Source organism: Homo sapiens, chromosome 16 (assembly GCF_000001405.40).
Source record: "Homo sapiens chromosome 16, GRCh38.p14 Primary Assembly".
Taxonomy (NCBI): Eukaryota; Metazoa; Chordata; class Mammalia; order Primates; family Hominidae; genus Homo; species Homo sapiens.
Genome location: NC_000016.10, coordinates 15,797,579 through 15,818,870, shown reverse-complemented (window position 1 = coordinate 15,818,870; position 21,292 = coordinate 15,797,579). Strand labels below are relative to the sequence as shown.

The window sequence follows — 21,292 nt, the reverse complement described above, 5'->3', positions numbered from 1 at the left end:
GAATATGCACATCCATAAAAGATAAACTCTTTACTTAATTTAAATGTTAACCAACACCTGCTATGCCCTCGTCTATTTTGGCATGACCTGGTGCTTTCTGGCAAATCATTGATGGCGGACTCCAAAAATAAAAAGAATCGGGCACGGTGGCTAACGCCTGTAATCCCAGCACTTTGGGAGGCCAAGGTGGGGGGATCATGAGATCAGGAGATCGAGACCATCCTGGCTAACGTGGTGAATCTCCGTCTCTACTAAAAATACAAAAAAAACTAGCCAGGCACAGTGGCAGGCGCCTGTAGTCCCAGCTACTCAGGGGGTGCTGAGGCAGGAGAATGGTGTGAACCCAAGAGGCGGAGCTTGCAGTGAGCCGAGATCACGCCACTGCACTCTAGCCTGGGCAACAAAGCGAGACTCCATCTCAAAATAAATAAATAAATAAAAAATAAAAAGAATGTCAAAAATAATGGAGAAAAATTTAAGCTTGGGAAGAATTCCGTTCACCTGCTTAATTTTTTCTCCATTCCCAAGTAGGAAATTGGTTTTTGTGAAGAAACACGTAGGCCCAGTGTGTTGACTCCATTGATAAATGGCACGATCTCATTCTGTTAAGTCACTGGGCTGCGATCCACACTAAGCTTACCATGAAGGTGGAGAGAGAAAGCTAGCACATGTGGCTTCTTCCTTGAGTTCTTCATGGAAAAGATGGGGTGTGAAAAGGCGGGATTGAGGAGGGATGGGTAACACACATGCACTGAATATAAGATGAAGCATTGCAGTTGTGTCACATAGACAGTAAGTTCCTGAGGACCTATAAACTCCATCCTTCTTGCATGTGCATCATTGTATCTCCAGCACATTTTCTGGTGCCTGGCACATAGTAGCTGCTCAGTATTTGTTGAATCAATGAATTATTAGAGTTATTTATAGAAAAGAACCTACCAGGGTCAGGATGGATGGGGTGGGTTATTTGAGAGAGGTGGGGCTTTATAAGCCTCGAAGAATGGTTTGCTAAGGTGAGAGAAGGGGGCAGGGATGGCTTTCTAGCCAAGAATAATAAAAGCATAAATGTAGGGGTGAGAATGGGTATGATGAGTGTGGCAGGAGCTGGTTTAGAGGGGTTGACTAGTATACTGTGGCAGGGAGCTCAGAGCCAGAGCTCAGCCCTTTGCTGCCTCACAGGAGTTGGGAAAATGGGAGGGACTTTCTAAGAGATACTTCACAACATGGCACCCTCCCAAGTGGAAGCCAAGCCCCTTGAGGGTATGGGAAGAGAAGCTGATATTTAAAATATGTATCTTATATCTGCATATGCATAAATTATGTCATGTTTATTTTTTAAATTCTCCCCCCCTTTTTTTTTGAGGCAGAGTCTCGCCCTGCCACCCAGGCTGGAGTGCAGCAGCACGATCTCAGCTCAGTGGTATGATTTCTGCTCACTGCAACCTCTGTCTCCTGGGTTCAAGCAATTCTTGTGCCTCAGCCTCCTGAGTAGCTGGGACTACAGGCACACACCACCATGCCTGGCTAATTTTTGTATTTTTAGTAGAGATGGGGTTTTGCCATGTTGGCCAGGCTGGTTTCAAACTCCTGACCTCAGGTGATCTGCCCGCCTCAACCTCCCAAAGTGCTGAGATTACAGGCATGAGCCACTGCGCCCGGCCGTGGTTTGTTTTTGGAAAGATGTTACATACAAATTCAAAAGGTGAACTTCTCCCTTCAACCCTTGTGCATTAGACCCTTAGCTTCCCTCCCAAGAGACAATTATGGTTTCTAGTGTATGAGGTTTTCTCCTAGAGATATTTTTGCAAGTATAAGCAAATAGGTATCTATTTTCTTCCCTAAGATTTCCCTACAAATACTAGCATTCCATATATATACAGTCCTATATTTTGCCAGAGGATGTTACATATCAGTGCATGTAGGAATTCCTTGTTCCCTTTTTTAAAAAATTGGTTTTTATTTTTGTTAAAAGTATTCATGCAGACGGCTTAGAGTCAAGTAATTTTTGAAGGCTTATTAAGAAAAATAGCCATCCTCTGCTACTTCTCAACTCCTTTAATTGATTTTTTTTTTTTTTGGTATTTACCACCATATCTCTGAAAACAACACTTGATCATTGTGCTGCTATCTTAATTTTGTTTTCAATTTTAGGTATCATCTATTGACTTTCCTCCATGAAAGATGAAATTTAGCTCATTCACCCTCTGGATTTGCCCCTATTTCCTCGTTCCAACACACATGCCTCATATCAGAGTCCCAGTATAATTTTATCTTAGTTTTGACAAACTCAGTGTTCAGAGTTTCCATTATTATGACTATGTAATGCTATCTAGAGTTTACATTATTATGATTATGTAGATGTTATTCAAAGCTGAGCTTTGCACTGCTTTGTGACTATTTTTCTTCTTTCTGTATGACTTTTCTTTTTCCTGGAGTTAGCAATTGCCTTTTTTTTCCCCAATCTTGTTTTCCATGTATTTAACCACCAATTCTGCCCCAAAATCTCTTTCTAAATGTGTTAATCTCCTTTTAATATGTCCAGACATGTATTGGATATCATATTGATATCATCTCCTTGAATGTGATCTCTACTATAGCCTTCTGATCTGCCCTGGCTTTCTCTATAGCTAGTAACTGTCATATAGGATCTTTTTCACCATCCTTGAAATTCCCCTTAGTGCTTTCATAGTGGATTCCTTGTTTCCCAGTTTTCATGTCTTCCTCTTTCTTGCTTTACTCTCCTGCTTAAATCAAGCACTTTGTCCAGTAGCTTCCCAAGAAAGAATGTACGTGATCTTGAGGCATTGAGAACTTCCATATCTGAGAGGCTTGATGCTTCTCTAACACTTAAAGGATAGTTTAGTTGGGTTTAAAATTTCAGGCAAGAAAGTTGTTTTCAGAAAGTTATAAATAACTTTTTTTGCCTGAGCTTTTTAAGGCATTTGTGTTGTTGCCTTCTAGTTTCAGTTTTGAGAAGATGAAACCCAATCTGATTCGTATGTGTGTATGTTTGTGAGTGTGTGTGTGTGTGATTATATTCACCTTCCTGGCTGGGAATATTCTTGATCCTTTGTACATGACCAGTTTTTGTTTTTCCTCCTTCTCTAGAAGCTTTTAGACTGTCTTTGTACCCCTATTCAGGATGATGGGACTTGCTATGAGTCCATTTTTATTTGTTATCCTGGACACTTAGTGGCCCAATTAATCTATAAACGTGTGTCCACAAATTCTGGGAAATGTTGCAAATTATTTCATTGATGCTGTCTTTCTCCCTGTGTTCTCTGTTTCTTTTTCTTAGAAGTCTTTTTATTTCCATAATGGAATTCCTAGACCAATCCTATAATTTAAATCTCTTTCTTTTGTCATTTTCATCACTTTAATGTTTTTAATGGTATTTTCTGGGCACTTACCTCAACTTTTTTCCCTAACCCTTCCATTGCGTTTTAAATTTCTGGTATATATTTTATTAAATTCCAAAAATTCTATTTTATTTTTAAATGTTTCTTTCATATGACATTCTTTTTCTGTGGTTGCAATATCCTGTTTCTCAGAGGATATTTAATGCAGAGTCTATTTCCTCCAAGATACATATTTTCCTAATTGTTTTAACTTCTGTCTGTCATATTAGTGGATTTCTTCAGATGTCTTGGGATTCTTGGCTATCCATTCATCTTGGATGCTTTAGTACACAGGATACCAAATTGTTGATGGAAGCTCAGTGCTTATAGGATGGGCTTGCTGATGTGCTTGGCTATAATATGAAAGCACTGGGCTACCCCATTAGGACACTTCTGTTTCGTCTTTCAGTCTTTTGTTCATGGGCTAATCTGATTCTTCAGAGAAGGTTTGTAGAAAAATCTTCTGCCTGGAGGTTAAAGATTTGTCTAGCATCATTTTGAGGGTCTAGTTGAAAAGAAGCTGAGGGTTTCAAAATGTGCAGTGAAATTTGTACATTATACCTTCCTTCTTTCAGTATGGTTCCTGGTGTCCCCCCAGGACGGAGACCCTCTGTTTAACCCTCACCAGAGACTAAACCCACCACCTTCTGTGGGGTGTGAGAAGGGCAGTCACTTGGCTTCAGGGAGTGTAGAAGATATGGGAGGGGTCTAACAGTGCCTTATATTTGACCCAGTCCTTATGTTTTTGTCTCCTCCTTGATCTTTTCTTCCAGAGGCCCCTGGCATTGCCAGTTTCTGAGGTTTGGGGCAGAAATGGGGAATTCGGTGTTGAAATTAGGTCGTTTCCCACCTTTCCTCACTGCTCACCTAGACTTTTTTCTTGGTACCTTTTTTTTTTTTTTTTTTTTTTTTTTTTTTTGAGATGGAGTTTCACTCTCGTTGTCCAGGCTGGAGTGCAATGGCATGATCTTGGCTCACTGCAACCTCCACCTCCCGGGTTCAAGTGATTCTCCTGCCTCAGCCTCCCAAGTAGCTGGGATTACAGGCATCCGCCACCACACCCGGCTAATTTTTGTATTTTAAATAGAGATGGGGTTCAACCATGTTGGTCAGGCTGGTCTTGAACTCCCGACCTTAGGTGATCCACCCAACTCGGCCTCCCAAAGTGCTGGGATTACAGGCGTGAGCCACGGTGTCTGGACTTTTTCTTGGTACTTTTCAACGCTTATCCCATTTTCTGTCTTCCAAGATGGCTTTGCTGTTCTCCCCTCTCTAGTTCTTTTTAAACTGCCTCATGTATTTTTACACTTTTTGGTTTGTTTGTTTTTTTTTGGGGGATGGAGTTTCCCTCTTGTCGCGCAAGCTGGAGTGCACGATCTCTGCTCACTGCAGCCTCCACCTCCCAGGATCAAGCGATTCTGCAGCCTCAGCCTCCTGAGTAGCTGGGATTACAGGTGCATGCCACCATGCCCAGCTAATTTCTGTATTTTTAGTAGAGACGGGTTGGCCAGGCTCGTCTCGAGCTCCTGACCTCAGGTGATCCACTCACCTCAGCCTCCCAAAGTGCTGGGATTACAGGCGTGAACCACCACGCCCGGCCTTTTTACACTTTTTTTTTTTTGCCTTTTCCCCCCTCTTTTGTGTGGAGAATGGGGTCTTGTTATATTTTCCAGGCAGGTCTTGAACTCCTGGGCTCCAGCTTTCCTCATGCCTGTGCCTTCCTAAGAGCTGGGATTCCAGGCATGAGCCACCATGCCCGGCTAAACTGGTTCATGTATTTTTGGAAAGTCTTTTACAGTTATTTTAGTAAGGTTTAGGAAGGAAGAGAGCTAAATGCATGCACTCAGCCTACCATCTTCTCATGGGAATTCTCTCATGCCTTCTTTTACAAAGAAGTGATAATAATAATCATGGATTTTTATTATATGCTTCCTATAAAGCTCAGGGCTTTACAGAAATATTCTCAGTTAATCTTTACCACAAACCTACAAGGTGGACAGGACCAGATTAGGAATTTTAAAATTAAGCCCTGAAACTATTAAGGTGCAGGCATATGTCATAAAAAAAAATTAAATTATAAAGTAAAGAAGGCTGACAAAATTGTTTTTGTTTTTGCTTTTTTTAGAGACAGGGTCTTGCTCTGTTGCCCAGGCTGGAGTGTAATGGTGCGATTGTAACTCACTGCAGCCTCAAACTCCTGGGTTCAGCAATCCTGCCTCAGCTTCCCAAGTAGCTGAGACTACAGAGATGTACCACCATGCTCAGCTAATTAAAAAAAAACAACTGTTTTTTGTTTGTTTGTTTTGAGACAGAGTTTCACCCCTGTCACCCAGGCTGGAGTGCAATGGCACGATCTCAGCTCACTGCAACCTCCACCTCCTGGGTTCAAGTGATTCTCCTGCCTCAGCCTCCTGAGTAGCTGGGATTACAGGCACATGCCACCATGCCCAGCTAATTTTTGTACTTTTAGTAGAGATGGTGTTTCACCGTGTTGACCAGACTGGTCTTGAACTCCTGACCTCAGGTGATCCACCCACCTTGGCCTTCCAAAGTGCTGGGATTACAGGCATGAGCCACCGTGCCCAGTCTTTTTTATTTTTGAGACAGGTTCTCACTTTGTCACCCAGGCTAGAGTGCAGTGGCACAAACACGGCTCACTGCAGGCTTGACCTCCTAGGCTCCAGTGATCTTCTCACCTCAGCTCCCCAAGTAGCTGGGACTGCAGCCATGCACCACCACACCCGGCTAATTTTTGTATTTTTTGTGGAGACGGGATTTCACCATGTTGCCCAGGCTGGTCTTGAACTCCTGAGCTCAAGTGATCCACCTGCCTAGGCTTCTCAAAGTGCTGGGATTACAGGTGTGAGCCCACTGTGCCTAGTGAAAAAACTTTTTTTTTTTTTTTTTTTTTTTTTTTTTTTAGAGATAAGATCTTACTGTGTTGCCCAGGCTGGTCTCTCATTCCTGGCCTCAAGTGATCCTCCTGCCTTGACCTCCCAAAGTGCTGGGATTATGGGTATGAGCCACCGTGCCCAGCCTAAAGTTGCTATTTTTCCCATGATGTTTATCTTCGTGGTGCTTATGAAATGGCAACTATGGCATTCTTCCTTCTCGTGCATGCCTGTGTGGGTGTGCCCTCAGCATATGCTTACAAGGTTTATTGGGTGATCCAACGCTAGCCGCAAGAGCTATTATTAGCTCCCTTTTACAGCTGGGAAAACAGACTCAGAGGAGTGGAGAACTTGCTGCAGATTTGTTAAGTGTCAGAGCCAAATATACACTTGGATTATCCTGACTCCAAAGCCGGAGCCCTGCTGGTCAGTCGGTGACACCGGGCAACCACAGGGATCCCCCTCAATCCCACGGAAGGCTGTCTACTGTCTTCATCTCAGAGTGTTGACAGCTCAAAGCTTAGGAGGCTGGAGCTAAGTTCAATAAATGAACGTGATGAATAGGAGAAAAGCGCCATTAAAGCCCTCCAGACAAGAACCACTTTGGAGCCCCTCCATGGGTCCCTGGGGTGTAGGAGGGGCAGGAAAGCAGATAAGATTCCATTCTGAGCCTCTGCACTTGCCCTATGCAAGATAGCCACAAGTAATGTTTTGTCCTCACCTCATTAGCAACAAATGGCCACACTCAGGGGATTAAAAAAAGAAATAACAGCCAGCCTTTATCAGCTTGGGGCTCTTGGCTAATTCCTCTTTAAGCTTAAGACAACTCTGCGGGTGGAGTGATCCAAACGACTTTCTCCACTTTGCAAGTTCCCACACTCGGCTGTATCCTTCTGCTTGAGATTGGCAGCCCCCTGGGGATGGTTCCTGCTCACCCAACTCCCCTGAGGCTGCTCCCCAGTAGAGGCAGAGAGAGGAAGGGCACTGATGTCCTCAGGGCCCCTGCAATAGGTCAGGACCTGGGTTCACTGCTCCATCAATCCCACATTGCTCGGCCCTCACTAGCACCACACAGGGTGGGTGGCAGCCTCCCCATTTGATCAATGGGGAAAACTCAGCACACCTACTTGGCCCCAGAACTGAGAGTCAAACCTGGGGACCCAGCTTCGCTGCCCTCAGAATGTTACTCTTCCCTCCTGGGTAGCGTGGTATAGATAGTGTAGTATTCTTGTCCCCATATAACGGAAGAGGAAACTGAGGCCCCCAGAAGGCTAAGGGACTAGCATAGGCCTTGTGTCTTAGCCTGTTAAGGCTGCTATATCAAAATACCATAGACTGGGTGGCTTTTAAACAGATATTTGTTTCTCGTGGTTCTGGAGGCTGGGAAGTCCAAGATCAAGCTTGGTATCTGGTGAGGGCCTAGTGCTGCCTTCTCGCTGTGTCTCACATGGTGGAAGGGACCTGCTAGCTCTCTGGGTCTCTCCCCCAATGAGGATTGAACCCCCATGATCTCATCACCTCCCAAAGGCCCCACCTCCTAATATCATCACTTTAGGGGTAAGGATTCCAGCATATGAATTTGAGGGAGACATGAGCATTCAGACCATGACACCTTGTAATCAGAAAGGGGTTAAATATCTTTGGTTGAATATCCTGTCCTGCCGATTCAGAATCACTGCTGTCTATAACCTCTTCCCTAGATCACTGTTTTAGATGATGATGATAAAGATGATATTAACGGCAATTACCAAGCTCTTAAATGTGCTGTGGGTAAAACAATTTTAAGCTCTTTCTGAATCCAGTCTCTTTCAATCATCTTCATGCCCTTGAAAGGTCTGGATTTTTGTCGATTTCCCTGGTGAGGAAACGGGCCCTGGGGGCAGAGGTGATAGGGTGGAGCCAAGAAGTAATTCCCAGCTGTTTCTCTGCAGAGGCAGTGCTGCTACAAACACATCTCCAGGAAGGGGTACAGCCAAATGCTTCTCTGTCTCTTGTGGGTTTTGCAGTGGCTGTCAGCTATGTGTCTGGCCCGGTTGGGAATGATGGGGGACTGTGTGTGGGAATGAATGGCTCTGTCTGGCTGGCTCAGTCTTTACAGAGGTGCTAGGAGTGTCTGTTTGGTGCTCTGACTAATCATGAAAAGTTCACGTTTTTATCTTTATTTTATTTTTATTTTTGGTACCCATGGTGCATTACAGGGAAGGGAGACAGCAAAGGAGAATTATTTGTTATAAAATAGTAAATATTGGCCAGGCACAGTGGTTCACACCTGTAATCTCAGCACTTTGGGAGGCAGAGGCAGGCAGATCATCTGAGGTCAGGAGTTCGAGACCAGCCTGGCCAATGTAGTGAAACCCCATCTCTACTAAAAATACAAAAAATTAGCCAGGCATGGTGGTGGGCGACTATAATCCCAGCTACTCGGGAGGCTGAGGCAGGAGAATCGCTTGAACCTGGGAGGTAGAGGTTGCAGTGAGCCGAGATTGCCCCACTGCACTCCAGCCTGGGCAACAAGAGCAAAACTCCGTCTCAAAAAAAAACAAAAACAAAAACAAAAACCGTAAATATTAAATTGAAAAAGGGACATACTTAAGGGAGTGAACCTGAAAAGCCCCAGCTGACACTTGGCAACACCTTCCTTGTTTGTTTTGGGCTTTTTTGAGACAGAGTCTCACTCTGTTGCCCAGGCTGGAGTGTAGTGGTGTGATCTCGGCTCACCTGAGCCTCAGCCTCTCCAGGCTCAGGTGATCCTCCCACCTCAGCCTCCAGAGTAGCTGCATACAGGCATGCACCAGTACAACTGGCTAATTTTTGTATTTTTTGTAGAGATGAGGTTTTGCTATGTTGTTCAGGCTGGCCTTGAACTCCTGAGCCCAAGCAATCCACCTACCTCGGCCTCCCAAAGTGCTGGGATTATAGGCGTGACCCACAGTGCCTGGCCAGCACCTTCCTTGTTAAATTGCATGTGTCAGCCACCTCCCTCGGTGTCCTCCCAGCCTCTGGGCAGTCTGGCTCCCCATTCCTTTCTTTATCCAACAGCATTTTTTTGTGAGACAAGGCCTTGCCCTGTTGCCCAGGCTGGAGTGGAGTGGCACACTCATAGCTCACTCCAGCCTCCAACTCCTGGGCTCAAGTGATCCTCCCCTCTCAGCCTCCCAAGTAGCTGGGACCACAGGCACAGATCATCACGCCTGGCTAATTTTTTGATTTTTTGTAGAGATGAGGTCTCATTATGTTGCCCAGGCTGGTCTCGAACTCCTGGCCTCAAGCAATCCTCCCGCCTCGGTCTCCCAAAGTGCTGGAATTACAGATGTGATCCACCACGCCCGGTCATTCTAACAATATTGATTATTAGATGTTGCCCTAGACACAGCCTACTGTGCGTATGTGTAAATACGAATTGAATCATCCCACAAGTAGCTGCTAAGTAGAGGAGGTCCAGAGAGTGGGGAAGTGTAGCCCTGGGGACCTTGGGAGGACAGGGGAGGCTTCCTTGGAAGGTGAAGTGTAGGCTTGGCTAGGGAACTTGATATAGGTTCTATGAGGCTGCTGGGGCTGGAGCAGAGAGAAGGGGGAGAATGTAGGAGGTAGGAGTGGAGGCCCAAGAGGGAGAGCGTTGGTTTTCCTGTCTCCTACACCCCTTCACTGGCCAGTTCTGCTTTCATGTTTTTATTTATTATATATTTTTTGAGACAGAGTTTCACTCTTTCACCCAAGCTAGAGCGCAGTGGCACAATAATAGCTCCCTGTAACCTCGAACTCCTAGGCTCAAGCAATTTTCCTGCCTCAGCCTTCCAAATAGCTGGGGCTACAGGCACACACCTCTGTCCACAGCTAATTAAAAAAAATTTTTTTTTCATAGAGATAGGGGTCTCGCTTTGAGTCTCAAACTCCTCGCCTCAAGCAATCCTTCTGCCTCAGCCTCCCAAAGCACTGGGATTACAGGCATGAGCTCCTATGCCCAGCCCAGTTCTGCTTTTACAATACCAGGGCTTCCTGTAGGTTTGGAAAACACCTGTTGGGTTGCAGCAAAGGCTCTCAAAGTATCTCTTCTTACTCAGCATGTCATCCTAACCAACTCTGCCGGGAGAGTAGAGTGGGGAGATGAAGGCTGGAGAAAGAGAAGGGCCCTCACTTACAGAATGGCTTAGGTCATGGGCTCTGGAGCTGGGTTCACCTCCCAGCTCTGCCCCGGCTATTACTTTGTGCCTCAGTTTCCTCACTTGTCCCGTGAGGATGATGACTGTGCTTACTCCAGTTGTTACAAGGGTGATTCGGTCAGTGTGTAGGGACACGGTGCATGGACAGGACAAGTTCAACAGGCATTAGCAGTCAGCTGCCGAGGACCCACCGTCAAGGGCCATGCAGTGGCCACCTTCACAGTCACACCACAGAAGATCCAGAACCTCTGGCATCTGCCTCCGTGCGGGGCATTAGGTAGAGAGCCACTTTTCTGCAGGCAATGGAGGCTGAGACCTTTCTTCTTTACTAGCCCAGGGGTATTGATGGCCCTGCAGAGACGGGTTTTGATTACCTCTCACTGGATCCCCCAGCAGCCTGTTACCAGAAAGAAGGGCAGACGCAGGGAGCCTGGGTCTGTGCTCAGTCCCCGCTGGGTTTTCTCCTTTTATGGTCAGCCTACAGTGCTCTGGCTTCCCAGACAGAATCCACCAGCTTGTGTTTGGGCTTGGGCCGAAATAGCTGGTCTGTGGGGAGCTGGGTACCTCCTGGGAGTCCTCAGGCCCACAGCGGGGGAGGAACCGCTGAAGCCCTTTATCTTCTCAGGAAACGTGCCTGGGGCCTTACACATCCGAGGCTGGGTGGGGAGTCTGGGGAGGAGGAAGGGAGAGAGGCATGTTTAAGGATGGGGTGTGAGGTGACATGAGCCCCAGGGATCTGGGCTGGGAAGCTCAGCCCCAGGCGGGTCCTGATGATGGCCGGCCGCCCCCAGCTCCAGCCTTCCCAGACTCCACGGAGGCTCGGTACTGTGTCCCCGCCCACTTTGGAGCTTCTGTCCCAGGCCCTCTGCTTGGGATGCTCTGCCTCGACCTCTCCCCAGGAGATTCTTTCACATTTTTCTTAATGCTGTTCAGTGGTCACCTCTGCCGTGAAGGCTTCCTGTCTTGCTCAGGTCAGTGTGAAAAAACAAACAAACAAAAAACCTGACGTCTATAGCACTTGGGTTCACATCCATCGTAGCACTGCTCATCTCTTACGGTCATTTCTTTGCCCATCTGACTCCCACCCTGGGTCATGAACTTCTCAAAAGCAAGGATAAGCAAGTCATGAAGCTCGGTGCATTGGCTTGAGCCTGTGATTTCAGTTACTTGGGAGGCCAAGGCGGGAGGATCACTTGAGGCCAGGAGTTTGGGACCAGCCTGGGTAATATTACTAAGTTACCTTACTAGGCCCTGTCTCTACAAAAAAAATGAAAACAAAAAACAAAAAAACCATTAGCCAGGCGTAGTGGCATGCACCTGTAGTCCCAGCTGCTCAGGAGGCTGAGATGGAAGGATCTGTTAGCCCAGGAGTTCCAGACTGCAGTTAGCTATGATCGTGCTACTGCACTTCAGCCTGGGCATCAGAGTGACACCTCATCTCTTAAAAAAGAAAAGAAAAAAAAAAGCAGATCTTATTGACTTTTGTGCTTTCGGTACCTGGCTCAGGACTCGTTTGTTGAATGAATATGTGAACACGTGAATATGCATTTTCCATTGCTTCTACCTTGGTTGCCTCTCTGAGCCAGAGAGCAATTCAAAATAACAAGCATTTCCTGAGCACCTACTGTGTGTCAGGCATTGTTCCTTGTACCTTCAGGAGCTCATTGGTTCAGGGGAAAAGCATTGAAAATGAACAATTTTGTAATTGTTGGAAACCTAATAGAGCTGCATGAAGTGGAAGAAGTCAGATTTATAATCATTCAGAGGTGGTATAAAATGAACATCATTTTTAAAAAAGGTTTATGCGGTATAATTTAAATAAATTCATTTTAAGGATACAGTTCACACCTAAAATTGCAGCTATGTCTGCATAACTGTCTAAATTCACTCATAATTTACATGGTTATGCAGCCATTGCTGCAATATAATTTTATATTTCTATCATCCCCCAAAGAAATCTTGTGCACATTTTTTTGTCACTCCATATTCCTACCCGCAGCTCCTGGCAGCCACGAATTCACAAATCTACTTTCTGTCTCTATGGATTTGCCTATTCTGGACATTTCATATAAATGGAATCATATGTGACCTTTTGTGGCTGGCTTCTTTTTTTTTTTTTTTTTTTTTTTTTTTTTTTTTTTTGAGACAGAGTGTCTCACTGCACTCGCCCGGGCTGGAGTGCAGTGATGTGGTCTCGGCTCACCACAAACTCTGCCTCCTGGGTTCAAGTGATTCTCCTGCCTCAGCCTCCCGAGTAGCTGGGACTATAGGCACGTGCCACCACACCTGGCTAATTTTTGTATTTTTAGTAGAGACGGGGTTTCACTGTATTGGCCAGGCTGGTCTTGAACTCCTGACCTCGTGATCTGCCCACCTCAGCCTCCCAAAGTGCTGGGATTACAGGTGTGAGCCACCGTGCCCAGCCGGCTAGCTTCTTTCACTTAGTATAATGTTGTCAAGGTTCATCCACGTTGTATCATGGATTCATACTATTTATATATTTTTTAAGACAGGGTCTGTCTCTGTCACCCCAGCTGGAGTACCGTGGTGCAGTCGTGGCTTACTACAACCTCCACCTCCTGGGCTCAAGCCATTGTCCCACCTCAGCCTCTTGAGTAGCTGAGACCACAGGGATTGTGCCACTATGCCCAGCTAATGTTTGCATTTTTTTTTGTAGAGATAGGGTTTCACCATGTTGCCCAGGCTGGTTTCGGACTCCCGGGCTCAAGCAATCCACCTGCCTCAGCTTCCCAAAGTGCTGGAATTTCAGGCATGAGCCATGGCCGCCGGCCATAACATCCTTTCTTTTCATGGCTGAATACTATCCCACTGTCTGGGTAGACCACATTTTGTTTATCCATCTACCCATTGATGAACATTTGGTTGTTTCTATTTTTTGGATATTATGAATAAAGTCCATAATTTTTACCAATATGGAAAAGAAAAACAAGAAAAACTCTGAATGCCATATCATGGATAGATGGCCTATTATCATTCCATATCATCTGTACCTTTTTCCGCCAGAATGTTTTGAGACATTTATTAAGTAAGGATCACAATGATGATAATTACTAAAATGGAGAGAACCTGTGGACCATGGGAACCACTAGGCCATGTGACACTCATGTTTATATTAGAGAAAGGCACCGTTTTCTCAAAGCACTTTTCCTCCATCTGCTGAAAGATTATTACAATAAATACACAATGCAATACAATAAATGACCAATGCAAATAGTTTCTCCATAGAGTTATGCAGTGTACAACATGCACCACGGTCCATGGCCATCCTGCAGGTAGGAGGTCAAGTGGAAAGGTCTCCAACTCAGCTCTAGAAAAGTGCAGAGTTAGAGAAGGTATCATAGAAGAGTTGACTCCCAAGACGATGTTTCAGATACAGATTAGGGTATGTACCCGAAGAATTGAAAAGGTACTCAAACTAAAACTTGTACAGGAATGTTCATAGCAGCACTATGCAGAATAGCCAAAAGGTGGAAATAACCCAAATGTCCGTCAACTGTTGAATGGATAAACAAAATATGATCCATCCGTACAATGTGATATGACTCAGCCACAAATAGGCATAAAGTCTGGGACCTGCTACAACATGGATGAACTTCAGCCACATGCTGAGTGAAAGAAGTCAGACATGAAAGGCCGCACATGTTATAATTCCATTTATGCAAAAATATCTAGAATAGGTAAGACCATAGAGACAGAAAGCAAATTGGCGGTTGCAAGGGCTTATGGGGGAGTGGCTGCTTAACGGGTAGAGGGTTTCATTTGGGGGTGACAGAATATTTTAGAACTAGATAAAGGTGGTAGTTACGTAACATTGTGAATGTACTAAATGCTCCTGAATTATGCACTTTAGTTATTTTTTTATCTTTATTACTATTTTTTGAGATGGAGTCTCCCTCTGTCACCCAGGCTGGAGTGCAGTGGCGCGATCTCAGCTCACTGCAAACTCCACCTCCCTGGTTCACGCGATTCTCCTGCCTCAGCCTCCTGAGTAGCTGGGATTACAGGTGTGCACCACCGCGCCCAGCTAATTTTTGTATTTTTGGTAGAGACGGGGTTTTGCCGTGTTGGTCTCAAACTCCCGACTTTAGGAGATCCAGCTGTGTCGGCCTCCCAAAGTGCTGGGATTACAGGCATAAGCCACCGCACCTGGCTTGAATTATTCACTTTAAAATGGTTCTTTTTATGTAGTGTAAATTTTACCTCAATGGAAGGAAAAAAGAGAGAGAGAGAGAGAATGGATTAGGCCAGAGAAGAAGTGGTGGTGGGTGCACTGGGCAGAAGAAATCACTTGTGCAAAGCAAGGAGGGAGTGAAACTGCTTTGTACGGTGGAGAACACTGCTTTTGAGTCCAACACAAGCTCAGGCTTGGGGAAGGAATCAGATAAAAATTTCCAGGATCTCAGAGTTCCCTGTGCTCCACACGGGTTGGCAGACAGCACCCACATGGAGTCCTTCTGCTCGTAACCAGCACCCTGCAAGCTTCCCACGCCTGGAAGTGGTGTGTTTTTGATGGGAACGTCAGGCCAGAGGTCTCCCAGCAGCCCCCAGCTCGGAGCCGCGCTGGCAGCTCCCAGGCCTTCTCCTGGAGCCCGCTCCCTCTCCTGGGGGCCCTGTGAGCATCTGAGCCTATAAATCTCTCCTGCTCTGGGCCTAGGATTCACAAGGCTGCCAGGAAAGCCTGCCTCTCTCCCTGAAGTAGTGGATCAACACAGCCCATCTGTCTGTCCATCTCAAAATCTTTCCTTAAGATAGTGGAGGTTGTCTGGGCCGGTCCCAGGAGGTTCTCTCTGTCTGGGTTCTAATCACAGGGTACCTGGTTCTTCTATCCTTCACCCTCTTTTAAAAAATCACTTTTTAGTACTTTGGGAGGCTGAGGCGGGCGGATCACCTGAGGTCAGGAGTTCGAGACCAGCCTGGCCAACATGGTGAAACCCCGTCTCTACAAAAAATAGAAAAATTAGCCAGGCGTGGTGGCACGCACCTGTAGTCCCAGCTACTCGGGGGGCCGAGGTGGAAGAATTGCTTGAAACCAGGAGGCAGAGGTTGCAGTGAGCCAAGATCGAGCCACTGCACTCCAGCCTGGGTGACAGAGCGAGACTCCATTTCAGAAAAAAAAAAAAAATTAAACTGGTTTCCCATTTTGCTCTGTCCTCGAGTGAATTTCTCCCCCTGGGTGGAAGCTAAAGGCACGGGTATCTGTCTGTCTCCAGAGTATAATGGAGAGATTAAAGTTTGATTGCTTTTTTCCTGCTTTTTTTTTCTTTGAGATGGGGTCTTGCTCTGTTGCCCAGGCTGGAGTGCAGTGGCAAAATCTCAACTCACTGCAACCTCCACCTCCTGGGTTCAAGTGATTCTCCTGCCTTAGCCTCCCGAGTAGCTGGGACTACAGGTGCCTGCCGCCATGCCTGGCTAATTTTTTGTATTTTTAGTAGAGATGGGTTTCACCATGTTGCCCAGGCTGGTCTCGAACTCCTGACCTCAGGTGATCCACCCACGTGCTGGGATTACAGGTGTGAGCCACCACGCCCGGCCTCCTTTCTCTTATAAATAGGGACACCATTGATTTAGGTCTCACTCCAAGCCAGGATGACCTCATCTCAACATCCTTCCCTTAATTACATCTGCAAGACCCTTATTCTAAATAAAATCACAGGTGGGATACAGTGGCTCACGCCTGTAATCCCAGCACTTTGGGAGGCTGAGGCAGGTGGGTCACTTGAGCCCAAGAGTGTGAAACCAGCCTGGGCAACATAGCAAGACCCAATCTCTACAAAAAATACAAAAATTAGCCGGGCATGCTGGCATGTGCCTATAGTCCCAGCTACAGGGGAGGCCGAAGAGGGAGGATTGCTTGAGCCTGGGAGGTTGAGGTTGCAGTGAGCTGAGATCACGCCACTGTACACCCACCTGGGCGACAAAGTGAGACCCCATCTCAATCAATTGGTTAGTCAATAACATCGCAGTCTGAGGTTCTGAGTGAACATAGCTTTTGGGAGTCACAGTTCAACCCACCCTAGTGACCTTGGGCAAGTTGCCTCACTTCTGAACCTCACTCTCCTTATTTGTAAAATGGAGGCAATGCCAGTGCCCACCCCAGGAGCTGCTGAGAGAATTCAGTGGGTCACTTCAACACAGAAGTTCAGCATACGCCTGCAGTGCAGTGAGTGCTCGGGAGATCGGAGCTGTTAGTGGGATCCTAATGCGGTGGCTCTTTCTTTTCTGTCTTTTTTTAGCTTTGTGGTCATGATGGTTTCATAAAGAACAATACCGACTCTTTTTCTATTGACCATTTTTGGTGGGATGAGGAAAAGATTGTATGTGTTCATAGCACAAACATAACCAGGATAGAAGTAGAATGGGTGAAAGTAGGTCTTCCTCCTGTCCCTTTTCTCAATACTTCAGGCTCAGGCCTGTTTGTTGGTTTTTTTTGTTTGTTTTGTTTTGTTTTTGGAGTCTCGCTCTGTTGCCCAGGCTGGAGTGTAGTGGCATGATCTCACCTCACTGCAACCTCCACCTCCTGGGTTGAAGTGATTCTCCTGCCTCAGCCTCCGGAGTACCTTGGATTACAGGTGCATGCTACCATGCCCAGCTAATTTTTGTATTTTTAGTAGAGACAGCGTTTCACCATGTTGGCCAGGCTGGTCTTGAACTCCTGACCTCAAGTGATCTGCCCGCCTCAGCCTTCCGAAGTGCTGGGATTACAAGTGTGAGCCACCGCACCCATCCCAGGTCTGTTTTTAGAGATAGGGTCTCACTCCATTGCCCAGGCTGGAGTGCAGTGGTGTAATCACAGCTCACTGCAACCTTGAACTCCTTGGCTCAAGGGATCCTACTGTCTCAGCCTCCCAAGTAGCTGGGACAAGGGGTATGTCTATCACACATAGCTAATTAAAAAAAAATTTTTTTTTGTAGAGACTGGGTCTTGCTATGTTGTCCAGGCTGGTCTGGAACTCCTGGCCTCAAGTGATCCTCCCATCTCAGCCTCCCAAAGTGTTGAGATTACAGGCATGAACCACTGCATCCTACCTATATATCTGTCTTTTTAAAACACAAAAGGTATAACACTATGCTACCTCATCTTTTATTTTTAGCTTAATATATTTTGGATATTTTTCTGTGTCCATCCACAAAGCTCTGCCTGGTTCTTTTCAATGGCTGCCTATTTTATTTATGTATTTATATCTTATTTGTTTTTGAAACAGAGTCTTGCTCTGTTGCCCAGCCTGGCATGCAGTGGCACGATCTCGGCTCACTGCAACGTCCGCCTCCTGAGTTCAAGCAATTTTCCTGCCTCAGCCTTCTGAGTAGCTGGGATTACAAGCGTGTGCCATGACACCCAACTAATTTTTGTATTTTTAGTGGAGATGGGGTTTCACCATGTTAGCCAGGCTGGTCTGGAACTCCTGAACTCAAGTGATCCACCCTCCTTGGCCTCCCAAAGTGGTGAGATTACAGGCATGAGCCACTGCGCCCGGCCTGCCTATTTTTAAATGTGCCATTATATAAACACACCAGAATTGAAACCCCAGAGCTGACTAGTCTTTAGGCCTTTTGTCTTGAGGATTTCGTTCAACCAGGCCACCCAAACATCCATCTATAATCCGAGGGAAGAGAGAGAGAACTGATTGGAGTTGGGCATAGAATCTGAGGAACGTGCCCACATCCAATCAGTTCTCTCTTAAGATTACAGATGGAAGAAAGAGTCATCTCTTTCACCTTGCCTTCTTCAGTCCCATCCATCCTCCCATTCATATTCCCATCCATCCATCCATCCATCCATCCATCCATCCATCCATCCATCCAACTCATTTACCGGCCTATACACTCTGTCCTCCCTCCCATTCACCCACCCATCCACTCTCTCATCCACTCACTCATCCTTCCCTCCTCCGTCCAACCATCCGTCCAACCAGCTATATACCCACCCATCTACCCATCTACACACCCTTCCCTCCTTTCTTCTTTCTTTCTTCCTATCTATCCATCCATCCTTCCTTCTTTCCATCCATCTATTCGTCCACCTACCCACCCACCCACTCATCCATTTGTCTTCCTGTCTCTCTACCTGTCCATCTATCCATCCTTCCATCCAGCCATCTGTCTGCCTATTCACCCAGCCTCCCATCCATTTATCCTCCCGTCCATTTACCTATCCATCCATTCTTCCATCCACCCATCCTTTCTTCCTTCCTTCTTTCCTTTCTTCCTTCCTTCCACTCACTTGCCCATCCACCTCTTCTTCCATCCTCCCATCCATCTACTCATCTATCCATCCATTTTCCCACCCATCTGCCCATCCACCCACCCACCTACTCACCTACTCATCTGCTTATCCACCCTCCCGTCCATCTGTCTATTCATCCACCCACCCACCCATCCATCTACCTACCCATCTACCCACCCTTCCATTCACCCATCTACCCTTCCTTCCTTTCTTCCTTCCTTCCGTCCACTCATCTTCCCATCCATCTACTCATCCATCCCTCAATCCATCCATCTAACAAGCATAATTCAGCACCTACCATCTATGTGCCAGTACTAGAGATACAATGTAAAACCAAGCCTAGGAGATTTTTGATGAAATGAAGCTTGTGAGAGCTGAGCACTGAACTAGTAGGACTGAAGCCAGGGAGTGGATTTAAGAAATGCTTGCCACTGTGGCATTGTCTACCAGCAGATATGATGCTGGGATTTCTACATTGTTAGGTGACCATTGAACGTATTGGTAACTGTTCTCAGATCTCTCTTTGGGAAGGAAATGGGTCTTCAGAGCCTGGCTCCACCTCAGAGGCCTCTTTAAGAGTAGAAGGTGATGGATAATGTCTGCTTAATCACATCTAGTTCTTTGATGACCTCTGTATCTTTTGGGTTTCTCTGGTGGTAAACAAGAGAGACTGACTCTGTCATCTAGTAGAGGAAAGGGATTTGTAGGGGAGTATGGAGGAGCTCACAGTTGCAGTGGGAACACTAGGAATCAGGCTAGGTAAATGACAGAAACTGGGCTGCTTGGGCCCAGGGGCAGAAAGGAAGTCTGCCTCAGGGCTCTGTCCACCTGCTGTGCTTCCCTGTCCTTGACTGAGCTTGGAGTTTTAGGCCAGAGAGTCTGACCAATGCAGCCTGGAACACATTCTTACCTCTTTGTTGAAGGTACTTATGAGGCAGTCCCACTAAGACTGTACATGACGGTAGGGGTGATGGGGGAAACCTCAAGGACCACAGGATGCTTCTGGAAGAAGAGGAAATGGATGCTGGATTTACAAAAAAACACAAATGTGCACAATACTATATTACAGATGAAGGAACTGAGGCATGGAGTTTAAGAATATTTGCCCAAGGCCACAGAGCGGAGAAGTGGCTAAGGGGGACCCCAATCTGTATAGATCCAACATCTGCGTTTGGTCCCTAACCTAATCTGGGTGGGGTGGGCCTCCCGGGACACCTCCAGAGCTGATGTGGCTGGATGCTAATGACTCCTGGATCAGTCAGGCTCCAGCATCTTTCTGGGGCTGCCTCTGGGACTTTGGGGCTGCCCTTTTGGCTTTGGTCGTGGCCCCTGTAGCCTGGGCAATGAGCCCAGCTGACCTGTTGTCACTTCCAATGAGGCCAGCATGGAGAAGCTTTAGAATGGGAGGGCCCTGGGAGGAGCCAAGTCCAGACCCTTAGCTCAGAGCTCATTTTAATTCATGGCTCTTTTTTCTTCTTTCTGTTTGCAGATCGGGAGGACCAGTCCATTCTATGCACGTAAGTGGAACTGCTTTTTCTTCTGTTTTTTTTTTGTTTTTTTTTTTTTTTAATCTGTAGTCGAGATCCAACCTATGAAAGAAAAGATCCATGAGTGCAGAGATCTTTGATTTGTTCATGGTTCCAAGTGCCTCTCTTTATACCTGGCACCATGTAGATGCTCACTAAACATTTGTGATATATGGTCTTCTGCGGAGGCAGGCAAACTTAAACTCTTAATGACACCTGCTATCATTTGGTTCCATACCTCTCCTCCTTCTAAAAAACTAGCATTTATTGAACATGTACTCTGTGCCAGGACTTGAACTAAAGATTTTATATGCAGAATCTTATCTAATTGCATAACAGCCATCTGTGTTGATAGGGAAGATGTTAAACTGTCACTTTAGTATTTCACATTTATCAAGCCACAAACACATCAGTGCCATATTTGGTGATTGGTATCACTGTTTCTTTGAAGACCTAGGTACATAGGCAGAAGATAGTAACTCAATTTTAGAATCATTGAGAGAGTTTTCACTATTGTATTTATATGCAAGTAACATATATTAATATATATTGTTGATTCATTGACATTGAACTCACAGCCAGCAGCTCTGTGGCTGATGCCTGGATGAAGTTTATCTGATGTGTATTTATTACATAATGGGTATCACAACTTTATTGTGCTTGGAAACATGAGCCAACACTTGAGCACTATGCTGGGGACATTTTTGTATGTGTGCTGCCGAAGGGAGCACATCTGAGGGGACATTTTAAACTGCAAAATAACTAACAAAAAGCCACAAAAATACAAAAAAAGGTGGCACTAAATACACTACAGAAAGGACACTTGTTTACAGTATGAGAGTTGAAACTAGAAGGTAGAGCATTCCCCTGTTCAACCTGAGCTGGGAACGTGTGCATTGGGGGAATCGAATTTTCCTTACTCTGCACATGTTCACAAATGACTACAAAAGTGCCATGAATATTGATTTTGGGGTTACAAATAACTTTCAGCAGGTCGGTGAATTTGAAAATATAGAATATATAAATAATGAGGATAGACTGTGCATATATATATTTACATAATATATAATAT

At 45.8% G+C, this 21,292-nt stretch overlaps 1 protein-coding gene across 4 annotated transcripts in view, besides 1 other annotated feature; it reads left to right on the top strand.

Annotated features, from left to right (window-relative positions):
* MYH11 (myosin heavy chain 11) overlaps positions 1 to 21,292 on the top strand; it is a 153,894-nt gene that overhangs the window by 38,158 nt on the left and 94,444 nt on the right. For all 4 annotated transcript variants that reach the window (NM_002474.3, NM_022844.3, NM_001040114.2 and 1 more), the window contains exon 4: positions 20,184 to 20,211. In NM_002474.3, coding sequence (NP_002465.1) covers positions 20,184 to 20,211 — 28 coding nt within the window. The remainder of the gene's footprint in view (positions 1 to 20,183; positions 20,212 to 21,292) is intronic.
* Positions 10,911 to 11,726: an enhancer, noted in NCBI's record as "H3K27ac-H3K4me1 hESC enhancer chr16:15901002-15901817 (GRCh37/hg19 assembly coordinates)". NCBI's record gives its function as "activates a minimal SCP1, AML or CMV promoter by ChIP-STARR-seq in primed H9 embryonic stem cells {active_cell/tissue: H9 hESC(primed)}" and the evidence as "EXISTENCE:reporter gene assay evidence [ECO:0000049][PMID:30033119]".